At 35.8% G+C, this 16,761-nt stretch overlaps 1 long non-coding RNA gene across 1 annotated transcript; it reads left to right on the top strand.

Moving 5' to 3' along the window:
- The first annotated feature begins 3,910 nt into the window (after positions 1-3,910).
- LOC105375487 (uncharacterized) lies at positions 3,911-12,744 on the top strand. The gene is made up of 3 exons (XR_927933.3): positions 3,911-3,978; positions 8,582-8,653; positions 12,665-12,744. It is a non-coding gene; the product is annotated as an uncharacterized LOC105375487 (long non-coding RNA).
- Positions 12,745-16,761: the final 4,017 nt, after the last annotated feature.

The following is a 16,761-nucleotide window of genomic DNA, read 5'->3' as shown; positions in this document are numbered from 1 at the left end:
TATGAGGTATGTTTGAGATATCTCAGAGATGTTTAGTCGACTATAGTAGCCAGCCTCCCAGATGGACTCCAGTGATTCTTACAAATGGAATCCACATTGTACCAGAGCTGCTGTTCTGTGTGACTAATAACGTAGGGTAAATTTGATGGTATGTTCCTTCAAAGATTTGGTTATAAAGACTGCAGCTTCTGCACATTCTCTCTCTCTCACACACACACACATACACACACACACACACACACGCACACACACACACAAAATCACTCACACTGTCAAATCATGAGGACCACACTGTAAAGCACGAAGTTTCCATTTAATATCCATTGAGGGACTGAGGCTTGCCAACATGTGTGAACTTAGAAACAGGTATTTCCCCAGAAATGCACCCTCCTTCAATGATGCTTTCAGATGAGATTGCAGCCCCAGTTGGAAGCCTGACTGCAACCTCATGAGAGACTTTTTTTTTTTTTGACGGAGTCTCGCTCTATCGCTCAGGCTGGAGTGCAGTGGCGCTATCTCAGCTCACTGCAAGCTCCGCCTCACGGGTTCACGCCATTCTCCTGCCTCAGCCTCCTGAGTAGCTGGGACTACAGGCGCCCGCCACCACGCCTGGCTAAATTTTTTTGTATTTTTAGTAGAGACGGGGTTTCACCATGTTAGCCAGGATGGTCTCAATCTCCTGACCTCGTGATCCGCCCATCTCGGCCTCCCAAAGTGCAGGGATTACAGGCGTGAGCCACCGTGCCCGACCCATGAGAGACGTTTGAGTCAGACACATCTATCTAAGAGGATCCTGGATTTGCAACCCGCATGAGTTGTTGGATATTGGATCCTTGGGATCATCTGTTACACAATAATAGGAATATAATATATGGGCATTAATAGGCTGTTACTACTATGAGAAAAGGGAATTTGTTTTGTTCACGGTTATATTCCTAGAACCTTGAAGGAGGAGTGTGGATAAATCTTTATGAGCAATCTATATGTATGTAGTAACCTTATGGTTGTATGTGAATGACATTGTGTAGGGTTATAGAACAAGAAAAGAAGACAGCTAAAGAGCAAGACTTGAAGTATTCAGATATTTGATGGTCAAGTAAGGAAAGACAGGTCTGCAAACCAAACCAAGAAGAAACAGCTGGAAAGGTTGAGGGTAAATTAGGTTATTGTTGTGACATAAGATTAAAGGGGAACATATTTTTTAAATGAGTGAGTGGTAAACAGTATCAAGTAATTCACAGAAGTCAGTGAAAATGAGCATTAAAGTATGTCCATTAGATTTAAAAATATGGAGATACTTGTGATTTTGTGGGGCTGGAAGTTAGCCCAAAATAGATAAAGATGTGGTTGAGATTTAAGAAGAGGAATATATTATGTTACATTATACTACATGATATGATACTATGTTATGCTTCAAGTACAGGTATATGTTTCAAATTATTAGAAGGTGGAGAAGAGGGAGACACATACTGGACACATGATGGTACAATTTACTGAGACAGAAAATGCTAGGGTCATAGTAGATTTTAGAAAGTATGAGAAATCAAGAAGTATTTTTGATTGTTCAGTTTGAGATGTTGATGCATTATCCAAGTGTCATGCATTTTCCAAGTGTCAAGATCAAGTAGCAAGTTTGCTGGATAAATCTGAAACTCACAGTGAAGTTTAAACTAGAGATGTAATTGTAAGCAACTGAAGCAAATGAACAGTAATTGAAACCATGAAACTGGTGGAGGTATCCTGGAAAATAAGTTTCAGCAGAAAAATAATAATAAAGGTTGGTGGGTCAAATTCTGGGCCATGCCAATGTTTAGAGTAGAAGTTCTTAACAAAGGGATATGGGGAGAGAATTTAGGGTGTTAATGAATTTAGGCAGGTGAAACATTACCTCTTTATTTTTACAAATCATTAATTGTGATGTAGCAATTTTTTCAAATACAAGTATAAGCAAAGACTGTAGTAATGTTAGCAATTCTATGACTTCATCAATAGTAATCACAGATAACTTCATATCACATTGCTGTTCTTTATTATTATGATACTTAAGATACTTATGCTTATCACAAGTTCAAAATAGTTAGTAGACCCACTACTAGATCTTCTTATTTAATGCATTCATAAAGAAGCATATCTACTAGCACACCAAAGGTTTGAAAGTACATCTTTGGAAACTAGTATTGATATAAATTTTTCCTTGATAAACCTACGCATTTAAAAATATTCTAAAGAAATTCATAAATTTCATTAGATTTCCTGAAAGCACTATGGCATAAAATAAGAAAATAACCTCTGACTTTGATAGAAAGAGGCACTGTTAGTAAAGTAATAATAAAACCAGCTGAATGTAATGTTCTGGATGCCAAGTGAAGAAATTGTTTCCAAAAAGGAATGGTTGACTATATCAAATGCTTCTGAGAGTTAAGTGTTGGATGCAGTCTGAAATTGATTATTGGTTTTGGCAAGATACAATTTCTTTAAGACCTTGATAAGAACAGTTTCTGTGGCCTGGATGGGTCTAAAACCTATTTGGAATGAGTTCAAGTGAGAATGGTTACTGAAAAAGTACAGAGTGTGTATAGAAAGCCACTTCATAGCGTTCCATTTGGAAGAGGAGTGTATATATGGGACCACAGTAGGAAGAAAGTCAAGGAGTGAGACTCTTTTTTCAATGTGTTACTTTAGGATTAAAACTATTACAGGATTCTCTCTCTCTCCCTCTCTTTCTCTCTCTTTCTGTGAGTGTGTGTGTGTGTGCAGCAGGTTCGACAGAGACATGATATTCACAGGAGCAGAGTCCTTGAATAGGCAAGAATAAAAGTTGTTCTAAGGCGAATCACTGCCCTTAGGAATAAGCACATTTTATCCATTTTAATAGGAATACAAATCTCAGTTTTTATGTAATAATAGAGATATAGGTTGATATGGAATGAAGACAGCAGTACTTTTTGTTTCTCTTTACTCTCTGAAATAATCTAAGTACGGGGAGAGAGATGCTGTGAAGCAATATTCTTGGATAAATGGAGAATGAATGGCTAGGAAAATATTGTGAATGACTAGCAGTGCTAAAAGGCAACTTGAGTTTTACATTAAAAATTACAGTGATAACTAGCACCATGATTATATCATTTTCTACAGATAGGACCAGCTGTCTGGGTTTCAGCTGGGATTAAGTTGGGCTGAATTTTAACTAGGAAAGTAGCACTGAGGAAAAATTGGGCCAAGAAGTTCATACGGTGTACAATAAAATGACAATAATGAGTCGGGAATCTATGCTGGATTAAAAGGCCGATAAGCACATAAGGAAAGTAATAGATAATGCATATGTCAGTAATAGATAACTAAGCTAAATCAATAGGTTGATAATCCCACTGAGATAAAACTGGGTTGGCTTTGGGGTACTAGATGGAATGAGCCAGAAAGACTGGATGTCATGATAGTATGGTGGGATCCTTGAAGTCAAGACATTGGAGGGTTGCTGCTACTGGTAATGATGGAGTCTAGGCTATGGTCTAGGCTATGGTCAGTAGAATCGGTAGCTGAATTGGGGTAAAGATAATTACTATTGGAAGTGAGATGGTTAAACCCAGAGTGTTAGATTAATCACTTACGTGGGGATTAGAGTCACTAAAAATATCAAGAGAAGAGGGTTAGAATTTAGGGAGAATTATAAGTTCTAGAATTTGAATTCTAGAATTGCTAAAGAAAACTGAATCTCAGAGGTAGATTTTAAGAGCTTTGGAGTCAGATTGGTATGGCATGTTGTGACCATAATTAAATCAGTATAAAGGCTTAGGTAAAGAGTAATGATGTGGGATGCCAAGATTTCTGCTGGTGTTTGAAGGTCACAAGACTACAGAGATGTAAAGCACAAAGCAGTTACCCCTGCCAGTCTCTCAGGAGATGAGCCATTAGTTGTAGTTATTACCCGCCTCTTTGGATCATTTCCTGGCAATTTTAAGGTGTTGTTATGGCAAAGAGGTAATGGATGCTATAAGGTCCCATGGACCTCCCCTTATAATCCTGCTGTGAGCACTGTCAAGGCCACTGGGGAGGGGGGTCCGCCTTGAAATAGACATCACAACAGCCTCCTGAAGAAGAATTTTTTTTTTTTTTTTCAGTTTAGTCGCTTTTATCACTGAAGAAAGAACAATGAGTGAGGAGAGGATGTGCCTGTACAGGAAAGGTGTTAGACATTTGTTTAAAATGAGAGCAAACAGCTCCTAGAAATATTCCACTAATTGAGGTATATAAAGTTCAGAACTGCTCTTCCTTTTTTCTCTTTGCCAGTCTGCTGCTCTCATTGCCTCAGTATTATACATTACTTTTAAAAGTTTTTAACCCTACTGGGGGGACGGTACCAGGAAACAAAACTTGATATTACAGTGAAAATATTTAGGATCAAAATGTAAATTAAATGTAATTCAAAAATTGTATCTACAATTGTGGCTTCATAAAAATAGAGGCATGAGGGTGAGGTGGCATGTGCATGTAACCCCAGCTACTCAGGAGGCTGAGGCAGGAGAATCACCTGATCCTGGGAGGCAGAGGTTGCAGTGAGCCGAGACTGTGCCACTGCACTCCAACCCGGGTGACAGAGTGAGATTGTCTAAAAAAAAAAAAAAAAAAATAGGAGCATGATATTTGCAATATTTCAAAAATTATTAGAACCATGTTTTACTTAAATGAAAGACAATAAAAAATGAATATGCTGAAGTAATGGATAATTATACTGTTTATATATTTAAATAAAATTATTCATATTAAATGGTATAGTACTTAAATACATAGGACATGCTATTAAGCTAGCTTTGGTTTAATGTCCCACTACTTTGTTTTCCTGTTATACACATAATTGTTTTGATTTATTTATAATTTGTACTATGAAATTTTTGTTTTAATTTTGTTTGATTGGATGCTCAAAAACTTGAGTTTTTTAAATGACAGCAATATTTTATCTAGTTTCATTTCAACTATATTTTATGTGGATAATTTATATATTTATAAAATATCTCTATTAGGGAGAAAGTAAATTAAAAGTGTGAAATAGGGATGTGCTGTTTGGAAGCAGTATTTGCTCTAAACAAATTCTGAAAACAGCGAAAAAATTTTAGTAAGCCGAAAAAAACATATAACTTTTAAATTTCTGAGTTACCCGGTTCTAATATTATTATTCTTTATTAGAGGCTTTTTATTAGTATGTATTTTAAAGTTTCTTGACAGTATTATACATTTTTAGAATGACTATATGAGAGTATTACAATTATGTTACCTTAGGAGGTTTATGGTATAAATTTGTATTAGCGTTCTCCAAGAAAGACAGAACCACTAGGATATATAAGAGGGGATTTGTAAGGGGAAATTGATGTACACTGTCACAGAGATGAAGTCCCGTGATAGGCTGTCTGCAAGTTGGAGAACCAGAGAAGTCAATAGTGTGGCTCAGTCTGGAAGCCAGAGAACCAGGTAAGCCTCTGAGGCCAAAAGCCTGAGAGCTCCCGGGAGGCCTCTGGTGCAAGTCCCAGAGTCCAAAAACCAAAGAACCTGGAGTCTGATGTCCAAAGGCAGAGGAAAAACAGCATCCCACTTCAGAAGGAAGACAGTAAACGGAGAGAGAGAGAGAGAGAGAGGAGAGAGAGGAGAGACAGAAAATCCCTCTTCTGCTTGTTTGTCCCAGCCAGGCCCCCAGCAGATTGGATGGTGACTGCCCATCTTGAGGACAGGTCTTCCTCTCTGTGTCCACTGACTCATGTATCAGTATCCTCTGGAAACACCTGGTAAGACACACCCAGAAAAAGTGCTTCACCAGCCATGTAGGCATTCCTCAATCCAGTCAAATTGACACCTAACATTAACTACCATAGTATCTATAATAACCAACCTATTGCTTATGACATGCATGTAAAATAACAAATTTCCAGCTTTGTGACAAGTTATAATGTAGTTTACTATTGTCTTCCATGTATGTTGCATATCATTTAAAATATTTTTATTTGGGAAAGGATATAAATGCAAACCTCACAGTTTTAGTAACTAAAAATTTCCAATAAATTTTCCATCTTATATTAAGAGTTTTTTCTTGTCTCTTCTCTTTTTTTTTGAGACAGAGTCTCACTCTGTTGCCCAGGCTGGAGTACAGTAGTGCCATCTTGGCTCACTGCAACCTCGACCTCCCAGGTTCAAGCAATCCTTCCACCTCTGTCTCCCAAGTAGCTGGGACTACAGGTGCAACCATGTCTGGCTAATTTTTCAATTTTTTGTAGGGACAGGGTTTTGCTATGTTGCCCAGGCTGGTCTGGAACTCCAGAGCTCAAGAAATCCACTTGCCTTGACTATTGAAATGTTGGGATTACAGGCATGAGCCATCATGCCCTGCCCACCTGCCCACTTTTTCTTTTTCGAAGAGGCAGGGTCTTGTTCTGTCACCCAGGCTAAAATGCAGTGGTGCTATCTAGCTCACTGCAGCACCAAATTTCCTGGGCTCAGGCAATCGTCCTACCTTTGCCTCCCAAGTGGCTAAGACTACAGGCCTGCGCCACCATGCCTTGCAATTTTGTTTTATTTTTTTAGTGATGGCATCTCCGTGTGTTACCCAGGATGAAAGAGTTGCCTTTCTTCAGCTTTTATTCAGCTAATGAATAAATATATTAGGCACTATGTTATCAGGGTTCTCCAGGGAGAAAGAACCAATAAGGGATAGATGATAGATGACAGATAGATAGATAGAGAGAGCATGTATTAGGGAAATTGGCTTCCATTATTATGGAAGCTGAGGAAGCTGTAGAGTCCTATGGCCTAATGCACAAGGGCAGGAGGAGGAGCATGCCCCAGCTTCAGGAGAGAAAGAAAAGAACCCCCCCCCGCCTCGCTCTGCTATTTTGTTGTACCCAAGCCCCCAGCTGATTAAATGGTACCTGCCTGCATGGAGGACAGATCTTCCCCACTCTTTCAGTCCACTGACTCACAGGCCTACTTCATCTGGAAACACTTTCAGACACACATGGAAGTAATGCTTTATCAGTTCTGTAGGTATTCCCTAATCTAGTCAAATTGACACCTAAAATTAACTATCACAGGCATTTTAGGTTTTAGTTATGATTTTGCTTGAATTTTACTTTTTTGATTTTTTAATAACTCATAGCTATATTTTATAAAATCATTTAATGCCAGTCTTTAAAATGTGGGAAAATGGCACACACGGTAGTCCCTTCTTATCCACGATTTTGCTTCCTGCAGTTTCAGTTAACCAGTCAACCGTGGTCTGAAAATATTAAACATAAAATTTCAGAAATAAACAATTCACAAGTTTTAAATTGTGCATCATTCTGGGCAGAATTATGAAATCTCCTTCTCTTCTGCTTCCTCCTGCCCGGGATGTGAATCATCTCTTTGCCCGGAATCTCCACACTGTCTACACTCCCTGCTTCTAGTTAAGAGCCATCTTGGTTATCAGATTGACTGTCTCAGTACTGAAGTACTTGTGCTCCAGTAACCCTTATTTTGCTTAAGAATGGCCTCAAAGCACAACACTAGTGATGCTGGCAATTGGGATATGCCAAAGAGAAGCCACAAAGTGCTTCCTTTAAATGAAAGGTGAAGGGAAAATCATTGTGTGCTGTAGATTTCTAAGATCTACAGTAAGAGTAAATCCTCTATCCATGAAATCGTAGAAGAGAGAGATATTTGTGCTAGTTTTCCTGTCACACCTCAAACTGCAACAGTTACAGCAATAGTGCTTGGTAAGTGCTTAGTTAAGATGGAAAAGACATTGCATGTGTGGGTGGAAGACATAAACAGAAACGTGTTCTGATTTATGGCAATGTGTTGCACCAGAAAGCATTGAGCCTATAGAAAGAATTTAGCAAGGGATCCCCTGAAACGAGTGACACCACGCCATTTACTGCAAGTAAGGGATGGTTACACAGATTCAGGGATGTGGAGTCAGTAGTAGAAAACACTACATCCCAATGCCTACATCATTCACCTCATTTCATCTAATTTCGTAGGCATTCTGTCATCTCAGACCATCTCAAGGAAGGTGAAAATAAAACAAGACATTTTGAGAAAGAGAGAGAGAGGCTGCATTCACATAATTTTTATTAAGTATATTATTATAATTATTCTATTTTATTATCAGTTACAGTTGTTAATCTCTTACTGTGCCTAATTTATACATTAAATTCTATCGTAAGTTATACAAAATCAGTATATTTACAGTTCGGTACTATCCATGCTTTCATGAATTCTCTGGGGGTCTTGGAACACATCCCCCAAGGATAAGGAGTACTACTATAACCCAAACTATATACTTTTTTATTTATCCCATATCAAATATACACAGTAAAGACATACCAAAATATTTTTTAAAGTAAGTTTAAAATGAATATATTCTAGTTTTTATTTATTTTTAAAACATCACAAAACAGAGAAAATATATTACCTTTTAATTTAGATTAATAATACTATTATTTCTGTCATTTTGCAGGAACAAAATATTTTTTATGGCCATAGACCTAAAATGAAATAGCATGATTATGTGCAGTTATGCTCCCTTAGAAATGTCTTTTATTTAAATGTTTGGCAGGTGAATAGGCTCTGGAGTCAAAAGATCTTAATAGAACTGCAATATGATCAATGAGAATGGAGTCAAACACAGGTGATTTTTATTTATCACTTACACAGAACTTTAGATTGTGAATGGCTCTGAAATATTTTATGATATGCTTTTCTAAAGAAGTTCTAGGTAAATCAGTATACTTCTGCTGTAAAATAAAACAAACACGCTCCAATATTGGCTAGAGAGGGACTTACTTTCCTGGGTAGAGAAAAAGTGGGAAAAAGGATACATTGTGCAAAATTACAACTATACTAACTATAATTTTGTAGTACTCTGTTAAATTACTGTTTTATTTTCTCTAATACTCAGCTTATCCATATTAGAGTAATTTGACAATATTCTAAAATATTAAGAAACCAAGGCTCATTTAGTATTTCAAATTCTTTAGAACAATTCTTAACACATAACTCTCAATTTGTTGAATAATGTTAATAGCCCAATTTACTTGAACATAAAGCAGTTGTTCTCAAAATTTGCTTAATATTAATATTTACCTGAGGATGTTTTAAAAACTTCCCACTTCCCAGGCTTTGCCCTGGTATATCCCTAAATGTGAGATCCAAATATCAGTGTTTATAAAAACATTCCCCAGGTGATTCTGATTGCAACCACATCTGGCCACTATTGGCAAAGAAGGGAGACAAAACAAATATTCAGTTGAATGAAGACATGAATTAAATCAAATGAGTCAAAATTAATTAATTTACTTCTATCATATGTTATTTACCAAGATACATTTGGGGTATAGGCATTGGGTAAACATCCCCATTCTAAAAAGGAGAAATCAGCCAAAAGAAAGGGGCTACGGGCCCTGTGTAAATTCAAAACCCAACAGGGCAGTCAGTCATTAAATCTTAAAGCTCCAAAATAATTTCCTTTGTCTCCATGTCCCACATCCAGGCACACTGCTGCAAGGGGCAGGCTCTCAAGTCCTTAGGCAGCTCCACTACCTTGGCTTTGCAGAGTGCGTGCTGCCTTTGAGGCTGCTCTCATGATTGGATTTAAGTGCCTGTGGCTTTTCCAGGCACAAGGTGCAAGCTGTTGATGGCTCTACCATGCTCAGGTCTAAAGGACAGTGGCCCCATTCTCACAGCTCCACTAGGCAGTGCCCCAGTGGAGACCTACTACCTGACATTTCCCTTTTGCACTGGCCTTGCAGAGGTTCTCTGTGAGGGCTCTGTCCCTGCTGCAGGCTTCTGCCTTGGACACCCAGGCATTTCTTTAGAATCCACCACTCTCGCACTCTGCACACCTGCAGGCTTAACACCACATGTAAGCTGTCAAGGCTTAGGGCTTACATTCTCCACAGTGGCAGCCTGAGCTGTACCTGGGCCCCTTATACCCAGAGCTGAAGCTGCTGGAATGTGGGACACAGTGTCCCGAGGCTGCACAGAGCAAATGGGGCCCTTGCCCCGGCCCATTAAACCGCTCTTCCATTCTCAGCTTTTGGGCCTGTGTTGGGAGGGGCTGCTGCAATGGTCTCTGAAATGCCTTTGAGACCTTTTCTTCATTGTTCTGGATATTAGCATTTGGCTCCCTTTCAGTTATGCAAATATTTCTAGCAAGTGGTTGCTTCACAGCCTGCTTGAATTCCTCTCCTGAAAAAGCTTTTTCTTTCTCTGCCACATGGTCAGGCTGCAAATTTTCCAAAGTTTTACTCTTTGCTTCCTGTTTAAATATAAATTCCAACTTCAAATCATTTCCTTACTCCTGCATCTGAGTGTAGGCTGCTAGGAGCAGTCCAGCCACATATTGAATGTTTGCTGCTTAGAAATTTATTCTGCCAGATACCCTAAATATCACTCTGAAGTTCAAACTTGCACAGAGCCCTAGAATATGGACACAATGTAGCCAAGTTCTTCCCTAAGACATAACATGTGTGACTTTTGCTCCAGTTCCTAATAAGCTCCTTATTTCCACCCAACACCTTATTAGCCTTTCATTGTCCGTATCACTATCAGCATTGTGGTCACAACCATTTAAGAAGTCTTTAGAAGTTTAAAACTTTCGTTCATCTTCCTGTCTACATCTCAGCCCTCCAAACTCTTCCAATCTTTGCTCGCTACTCAGTTCCAAAGCTTCTTCCACATTTTCAGGTATCTTTATAGCAACACCCCATTCCTGGTACCAATTTTCTATTATGCTATTCTTGCATTGCTATAAAGCAATATCTGATACTGGATAATTTATAAATAAAATTAGCTCATTGTTCCACTGGCTTTACAGTAAACAGTGCTGGCAACTGCTCAGCTTCTGCAGAGGATTTAGGAGGCTTACAATCATGACAGAAAGTGAAGGGGAGCAGGTACGTCACAGGGCCAGAGCAGAAGAAAACAGATAGTGTTGGAAAAGTTGCCACACACTTTTAAATGACCAGATCTCATGAAAACTCACTCACTATCACAAAGGCACCTCCAAGCTATGAAAGATCTGTCCCCATGATCCAAACAATGACCAAATAGTAGTTTTAATTCATTTAATTCATTTTTCCTCTGTGTCACATTCTTTTTATGATACTGCTTCCCTTTTTATAAATCACACAATTTATTCTGTGTAGGGCATCATCATCCTTTAGATCATTACTTATATACACATATACTGTGGTCAAGCTGCATCAGAATAACTTTGATTAAAAATGCAGATTCTTGAGCCCTACCAAAGAACCACTTCAACCAAACCTCATTTTATAACTTGAATGAGAGGTAATTTTTATGCACCTGAAAACCACTTTAGGCCTTTCTTATGTCCTAAATCTCACTTTGTGTAGAATAACAAATTCACTAATAAAAATAGTTTGCACAATAAGTTGCAGGCAACTATTACAATCTGCAGCTGTCATCTTTTCTGTCACTCGGTATAACCCATATTCTTCTAGGCTGCCAATCATAGCTCTCTGCCATCTGATTATTGCTTCCAGGAGTGCAGGATTTAGTGACAACACGACTTTTATTCCCACCTGTCTGCTCCCCACTTATTTCCTCTGATGATATGTATAGGCATCAACATTTAGTATTTATCAGTGACTCCACATCCTGCCTGCATATTAAAATCAACTGGTAAGGTTTTAAGAATTACTGATGCCTTTGCATGACTTCCTAAGTTTATAATTAAATTGTTCTGGGATGAATTCCTGGCAAGACCTTTTTTCTTTTTTTAACCCCAGCTGATTATAATAGTCAGGCAAGGTTTAAAACCACCGAGCTACTTGTTAGCAAAATAGCATGCGATTTTGTCAGAATCTTAGGTTTCAGGTTCATTATGATTTCAAGCATCAGGAGCAAAATATAATTACCTGGGGATTAAAGCATTTTATACATAAAATGATATAGCCTTACTACACAAATACCAGAAGACTGGAAAGAATATTAACATCTCTCAGTTTGAAAAGTCCTGTTTTCAAGCTGCTGTTACATCCATCTTCAGAATTTATAGCCTAAGGGTTGCAGATGGTAGAGTACTACTTAGAAAAGATACCCTGTTGGGAAAACCACATTGCTTTGCAATTAACCAGAGGAGTTCTTGTTTCCACTCTCTTAGTTATCAGTTGAAAAGAATAATTATTGAGTTTTTGGAGGGTAACTAACCATGCAAATTTAATAGTGTGTAAAAATACGTGTACTTTTAAAACAGGTTTTATTCAAGAAAAAGATAATATAATGAGAAGTATTTTACAAATATTGATTTCAGGGGCAATTCAGTGAAGAAACAGTCTTTATCCTTGTTTGTATTCAAATAATCATTTCAGTACTCTGTTGCAAGAATTTTTGTTCCATATCAGATAAGAAAACTGAAATTTTCAAAGAAGGTATTTTGTTATTATTGCTGACATTTCACCCAACATATAAGCATAACCAGAATGAAGATTTTCTATTACCTATAGATATATATTTTAATATTTGTACAGTTTTATGTATTTAAAACTTCAAGTTTTTCTTTGAATTATTGCTGAAAAAATGCATAAATTTTAAGTGGTCATTTAGGTGAGTTTTTACAGGCCTGTAAACCATCACCCCAAACAAGTCGTAGTGTATTTCTATTCTCTTTCCACAGAAAGTCCTACAGTGCCTCTCTCCAGTCAGTTTCTCCCCATGTTGGCAACTGTTTTCAATCATCATAGATAAATTTTCAGTTTGGATTCATGCAGTAAGTACACTATTCATTTTTGTCTGGCTTTTTCTCTTACCATAACATTTTCAAGATCAATTCATGATGATTATACATAGTTGAGATCCACTGCTGATATTTTGCATATTTACATAAGTGAGGTTGTATGCAATTATTATTGTTTATTGTTTGTTGTTGCTTAATAGCGTGTCACTGGATGGATACATACCATGACTTGCTTGTCTATACTTCTGGTGTTGGTCATTTGGATGGTTTCTGTATTGTATATCGTAAATCATGAAGAAGGGTTCCACATTCTTTTCTAAGTCTATTCGATGATTTTGTTTATGTAACTACCTAGGAATTAAAACACTGTGTTAAATAGTAGATATATATTTAATTTATAAGAAATTGCTTTGCAATTTCTCAAAGTGAGTAAGGAATTTTATACTCTCACCGGCAATTAATAGGTCAGAGGATACTTAGCCTCACCAACATTTTGCTTTGTCATATTTTTTGGTTCAGCCATTCTGGTGGGAGTGAACTGATATTTTATTGTGGATTCAGTTTAGATTTACATATTGACTGTTTATGTTGAACATCTTTGCACGTGTTTATAGGCCATTTGCATGTATTAATTTGTCAAGAGTGTTCAAGCCTTCAACTCATTTTATATTGAGTTGTTAATTATTTTATCATTAATTTGCATACCATTTATTACATATATTGGATAAAAGCTTTTGGTCACAAATATGTGTTGTAATATATTTCCTCCAGTATCTGCTTGTCTACTCATTTTATTATTTTATTTCATAATTTGTGCTTTTTATTTTCTATTCAAGAAAATACACTTCTGTTTTCTTCTGAAGCTTTATTATCCTGGTTATGTCAATTTCTGGAAGGGTTATGGATAAGTGAATTTCATTTATTTCTTATATGGATACCCGATTATTTCAACGTTTGTGAAAATATTTTTCCTCTATTGTATTTACTTGGCATTTTTGTCAAAATCAGTTTATTAAATATATGAAGGTCTATTTCTGAACACTCTACTTAATTCCATTTATTTAGTTCCATACACTAATACCATGCTCTCTTCTTTCTGTAGTTTTATAGTAACCCTTGAAATCAAGTAACTAAGACATTTAATTTTGATATTTTTAAAGACTGAATTACCTATTCTGTATCTTCATTACCTCCACATCAATTTTAGAATTATCTTCTCTATATTTTTTAAATAATTGCTTGGGAATTTGTTAAGGAATCTGACTAGAATCTGCATATCAATTTATGAAGAACAGTCACAGTAATAATATGAAATTTTCATATTTACAGACATGGTATATCTTTCATTTATTTAAATCATCATTAATTCCTCACAGAAATAATTTGTAGCTTTCACATGAGAAGTATGGCATATTCAAAAATATTTCCAGATATGTATTTTTATGCTACTGTATTTTACAATTAAAACATTTTGTTTGGGCACTTTTTATTACAATTATATACAAATAAAATTAATTGGTGTATAGACTATCCTGTAACTTTATTAAATTCCCTTATACATTTTAGTAGTTTGTGTGCAGAAAATTTTTATTTTAAACATCACAATAATATTTTCTGTGAATGAAAAGAGTTACAACTCGTTATCTAATATTTATAGTTTTTTTGTGTACTTTGCTTTATTACACTTGCTAAAATATTAAATAGAAGCATCAAGAGCAGACATTGTTGCCATATCCTCGATCTTAACAGTGTTTAGTGATCTAGCTTTAAGGGCATTGTTTATTGTAGGTTTTCATAGATACCCATTATCTGATTTCAGAAGTATGCATGTATTTCAAGTTTGCTGAATGTTTTGTCATTGTTTTTTACATTATTTTGACTTTTCGATTTTATAGGCGTTATTGAGATAATTATGTAATTTTTTCATTTATTCTGGTAATTCAATGATTACATTTATTACTTTTTGATACTCAGACTAAACTTGTATTTCTGGGACAACAGGACTTATTTATTATTTATTTTATATAGTGCTAAATTTGATTTGCCAATACTTTGTTAAGAAATTTTGTATCTGTGTTCAAGAAGAATATGTTCTGATTTTTTCCTTGTAATATTTTTCATGTTTTGATAGAAAGTGTTATTTTGGCCTCATACAAGGAATTTCTCATTTGGACATTTGTTTTATAATTATCAGTCTGATATTGTTTTTTCTACCCCCTTTTGAGTGAATTGTGCATATTTGAGGTTTGTATATTTTATTTCCTATATTACCATTTTAGCTACATCTCTTTTGTAATTTTTAATGGTTTCTACAAATATTATAATATGCATTTTTATCTTTTAACACCGTAGCTTCAAACAATATCATGCAACTTCATAGACAGTATACAACTTTTACTCAGTTTTTATGTTCATATTGTTCCATTGGTTTTTTTATGTATGACTTAAACACGTTACATTGCTATCATTCTTGCTTTAACCACTTATTAATTTTTCTAAAGTAATTAAGGAATATAGGTATTTCTGCAAATTCCAAGTTATTTTCTATTTCCTATGCTTATTGATCAGTCTCACTCATTTGAAATTCTGTAATTGTGCTTCAACTAAAAGTATTTTTTGAGCATTTTTTATAGCACAAGTCTTTGCGAGTCAAAATCTGTTAGCTTTGTTTGACAATGTATTTGTGAAGGTTATTTACAAAATACAGAATTTCAGTTTCAGAGTTATATTTTATCTTTTAATACCTTAAAGTAACTTCAGAATTATTTATTATTTGTGGTAAGAAGTCTTTATGGGTATCATTTTTCTCCTATACATAAGAGATGTTTTTCTCCCTGACTTCTTTCAAGATGACTTTATCTTTAATTTTTACCAGCTTGTCTGTGATGTGTATATATGTGTGTGTGTGTGTGTGCACATATATTTTGTATTTATGCATTTATCCTGCTTGGAGCATTCAGTAAACTTCTTAGATCTTTGGGTTGATATATTTTCATCAATTTTGTTAAGTTTTTTTGCCATTGTCTTTTAAATATTTCTTCTTCTTTACTGTCTTGCTTTTCTTCTTTTGGGATTTAATTGCACATAGGTTAGATTGATACGTTTTTACATATCTTGGATTCTCTGTTTACTCTTTTCCTTTTCTATTTATATTTTTGTTTGTAAACTTTCTCTTCAAGGATATATTCCTCTTCCTTATACAGTCCCATCTGAAGCTCATGAAATAAATTATATATATCTGATTTTTAATATCTAGCATTTCTATTTGTTCTTCTGTATAGTTCCCATGTCTCAGCTAAAAGCCCCATCTCTTCATTCATTAATTCTTTCCATCTTTTCCGCAAAATTATTTTTAAGTTATAGTTAAATTTGATGTGATAATCCTAATATTTAGGCCATATCTGGATATATTTCTAATAATTATCACTGCTTTTCGGTATGGTACATGCCTTCTTGATTATTAGTATGTTCATTAGGATTTTTGACTACATACTGTAATTATTGCATAAAAGAACAGCAAAGACTGAAGTAAGTAATATTTACCTCTTGTCCTTTCTTATATAGGCTGACAGAATGGAGGATGAGTAAATATATTCGTAGTCTACTGGATTCTGGTTTTTTTTTTTTTTTTTTTTTTAAGCTTAAGTTAGAATCAGCTCACAATCTCTTGAAATATTTTAAGGATGGGGTCAGAACTTTTCTTTTAGCAGGGTTTGGGATCTGAGCTCTGACGAGATTCTGAATTTCTGCTTGTTCTTCTAAGTCGAGTAGCAAGTTTTCAGAAATGTAGGAAATTGCTCCTTTATATACTGCCCTGCTTCTTGTATTTGTGTTGTTGTAGGGTATTGTTTGCTCTCCATTCTCACTCTCCACTTTCTGAGCCTCCAGAGATATTGCTTATCCCTCCTGCCCTGTTTTAGGTTTTCTGACTGTGATCCTTCCCTTGTCTTCTTCAGGTAGCAGTACAGCTTACCTGGGGAGGATTCCCTCAGTTCTGTTCCATCATTAGCCTGAAAGCCTTTTAGAGAGCATCCCTC

The sequence above is a fragment of the Homo sapiens genome, chromosome 7 (genome assembly GCF_000001405.40).
Source record: "Homo sapiens chromosome 7, GRCh38.p14 Primary Assembly".
Taxonomy (NCBI): domain Eukaryota; kingdom Metazoa; phylum Chordata; class Mammalia; order Primates; family Hominidae; genus Homo; species Homo sapiens.
Note: the sequence above shows the minus strand (reverse complement) of the source record. Positions and strands in the feature narration are given on the sequence as shown.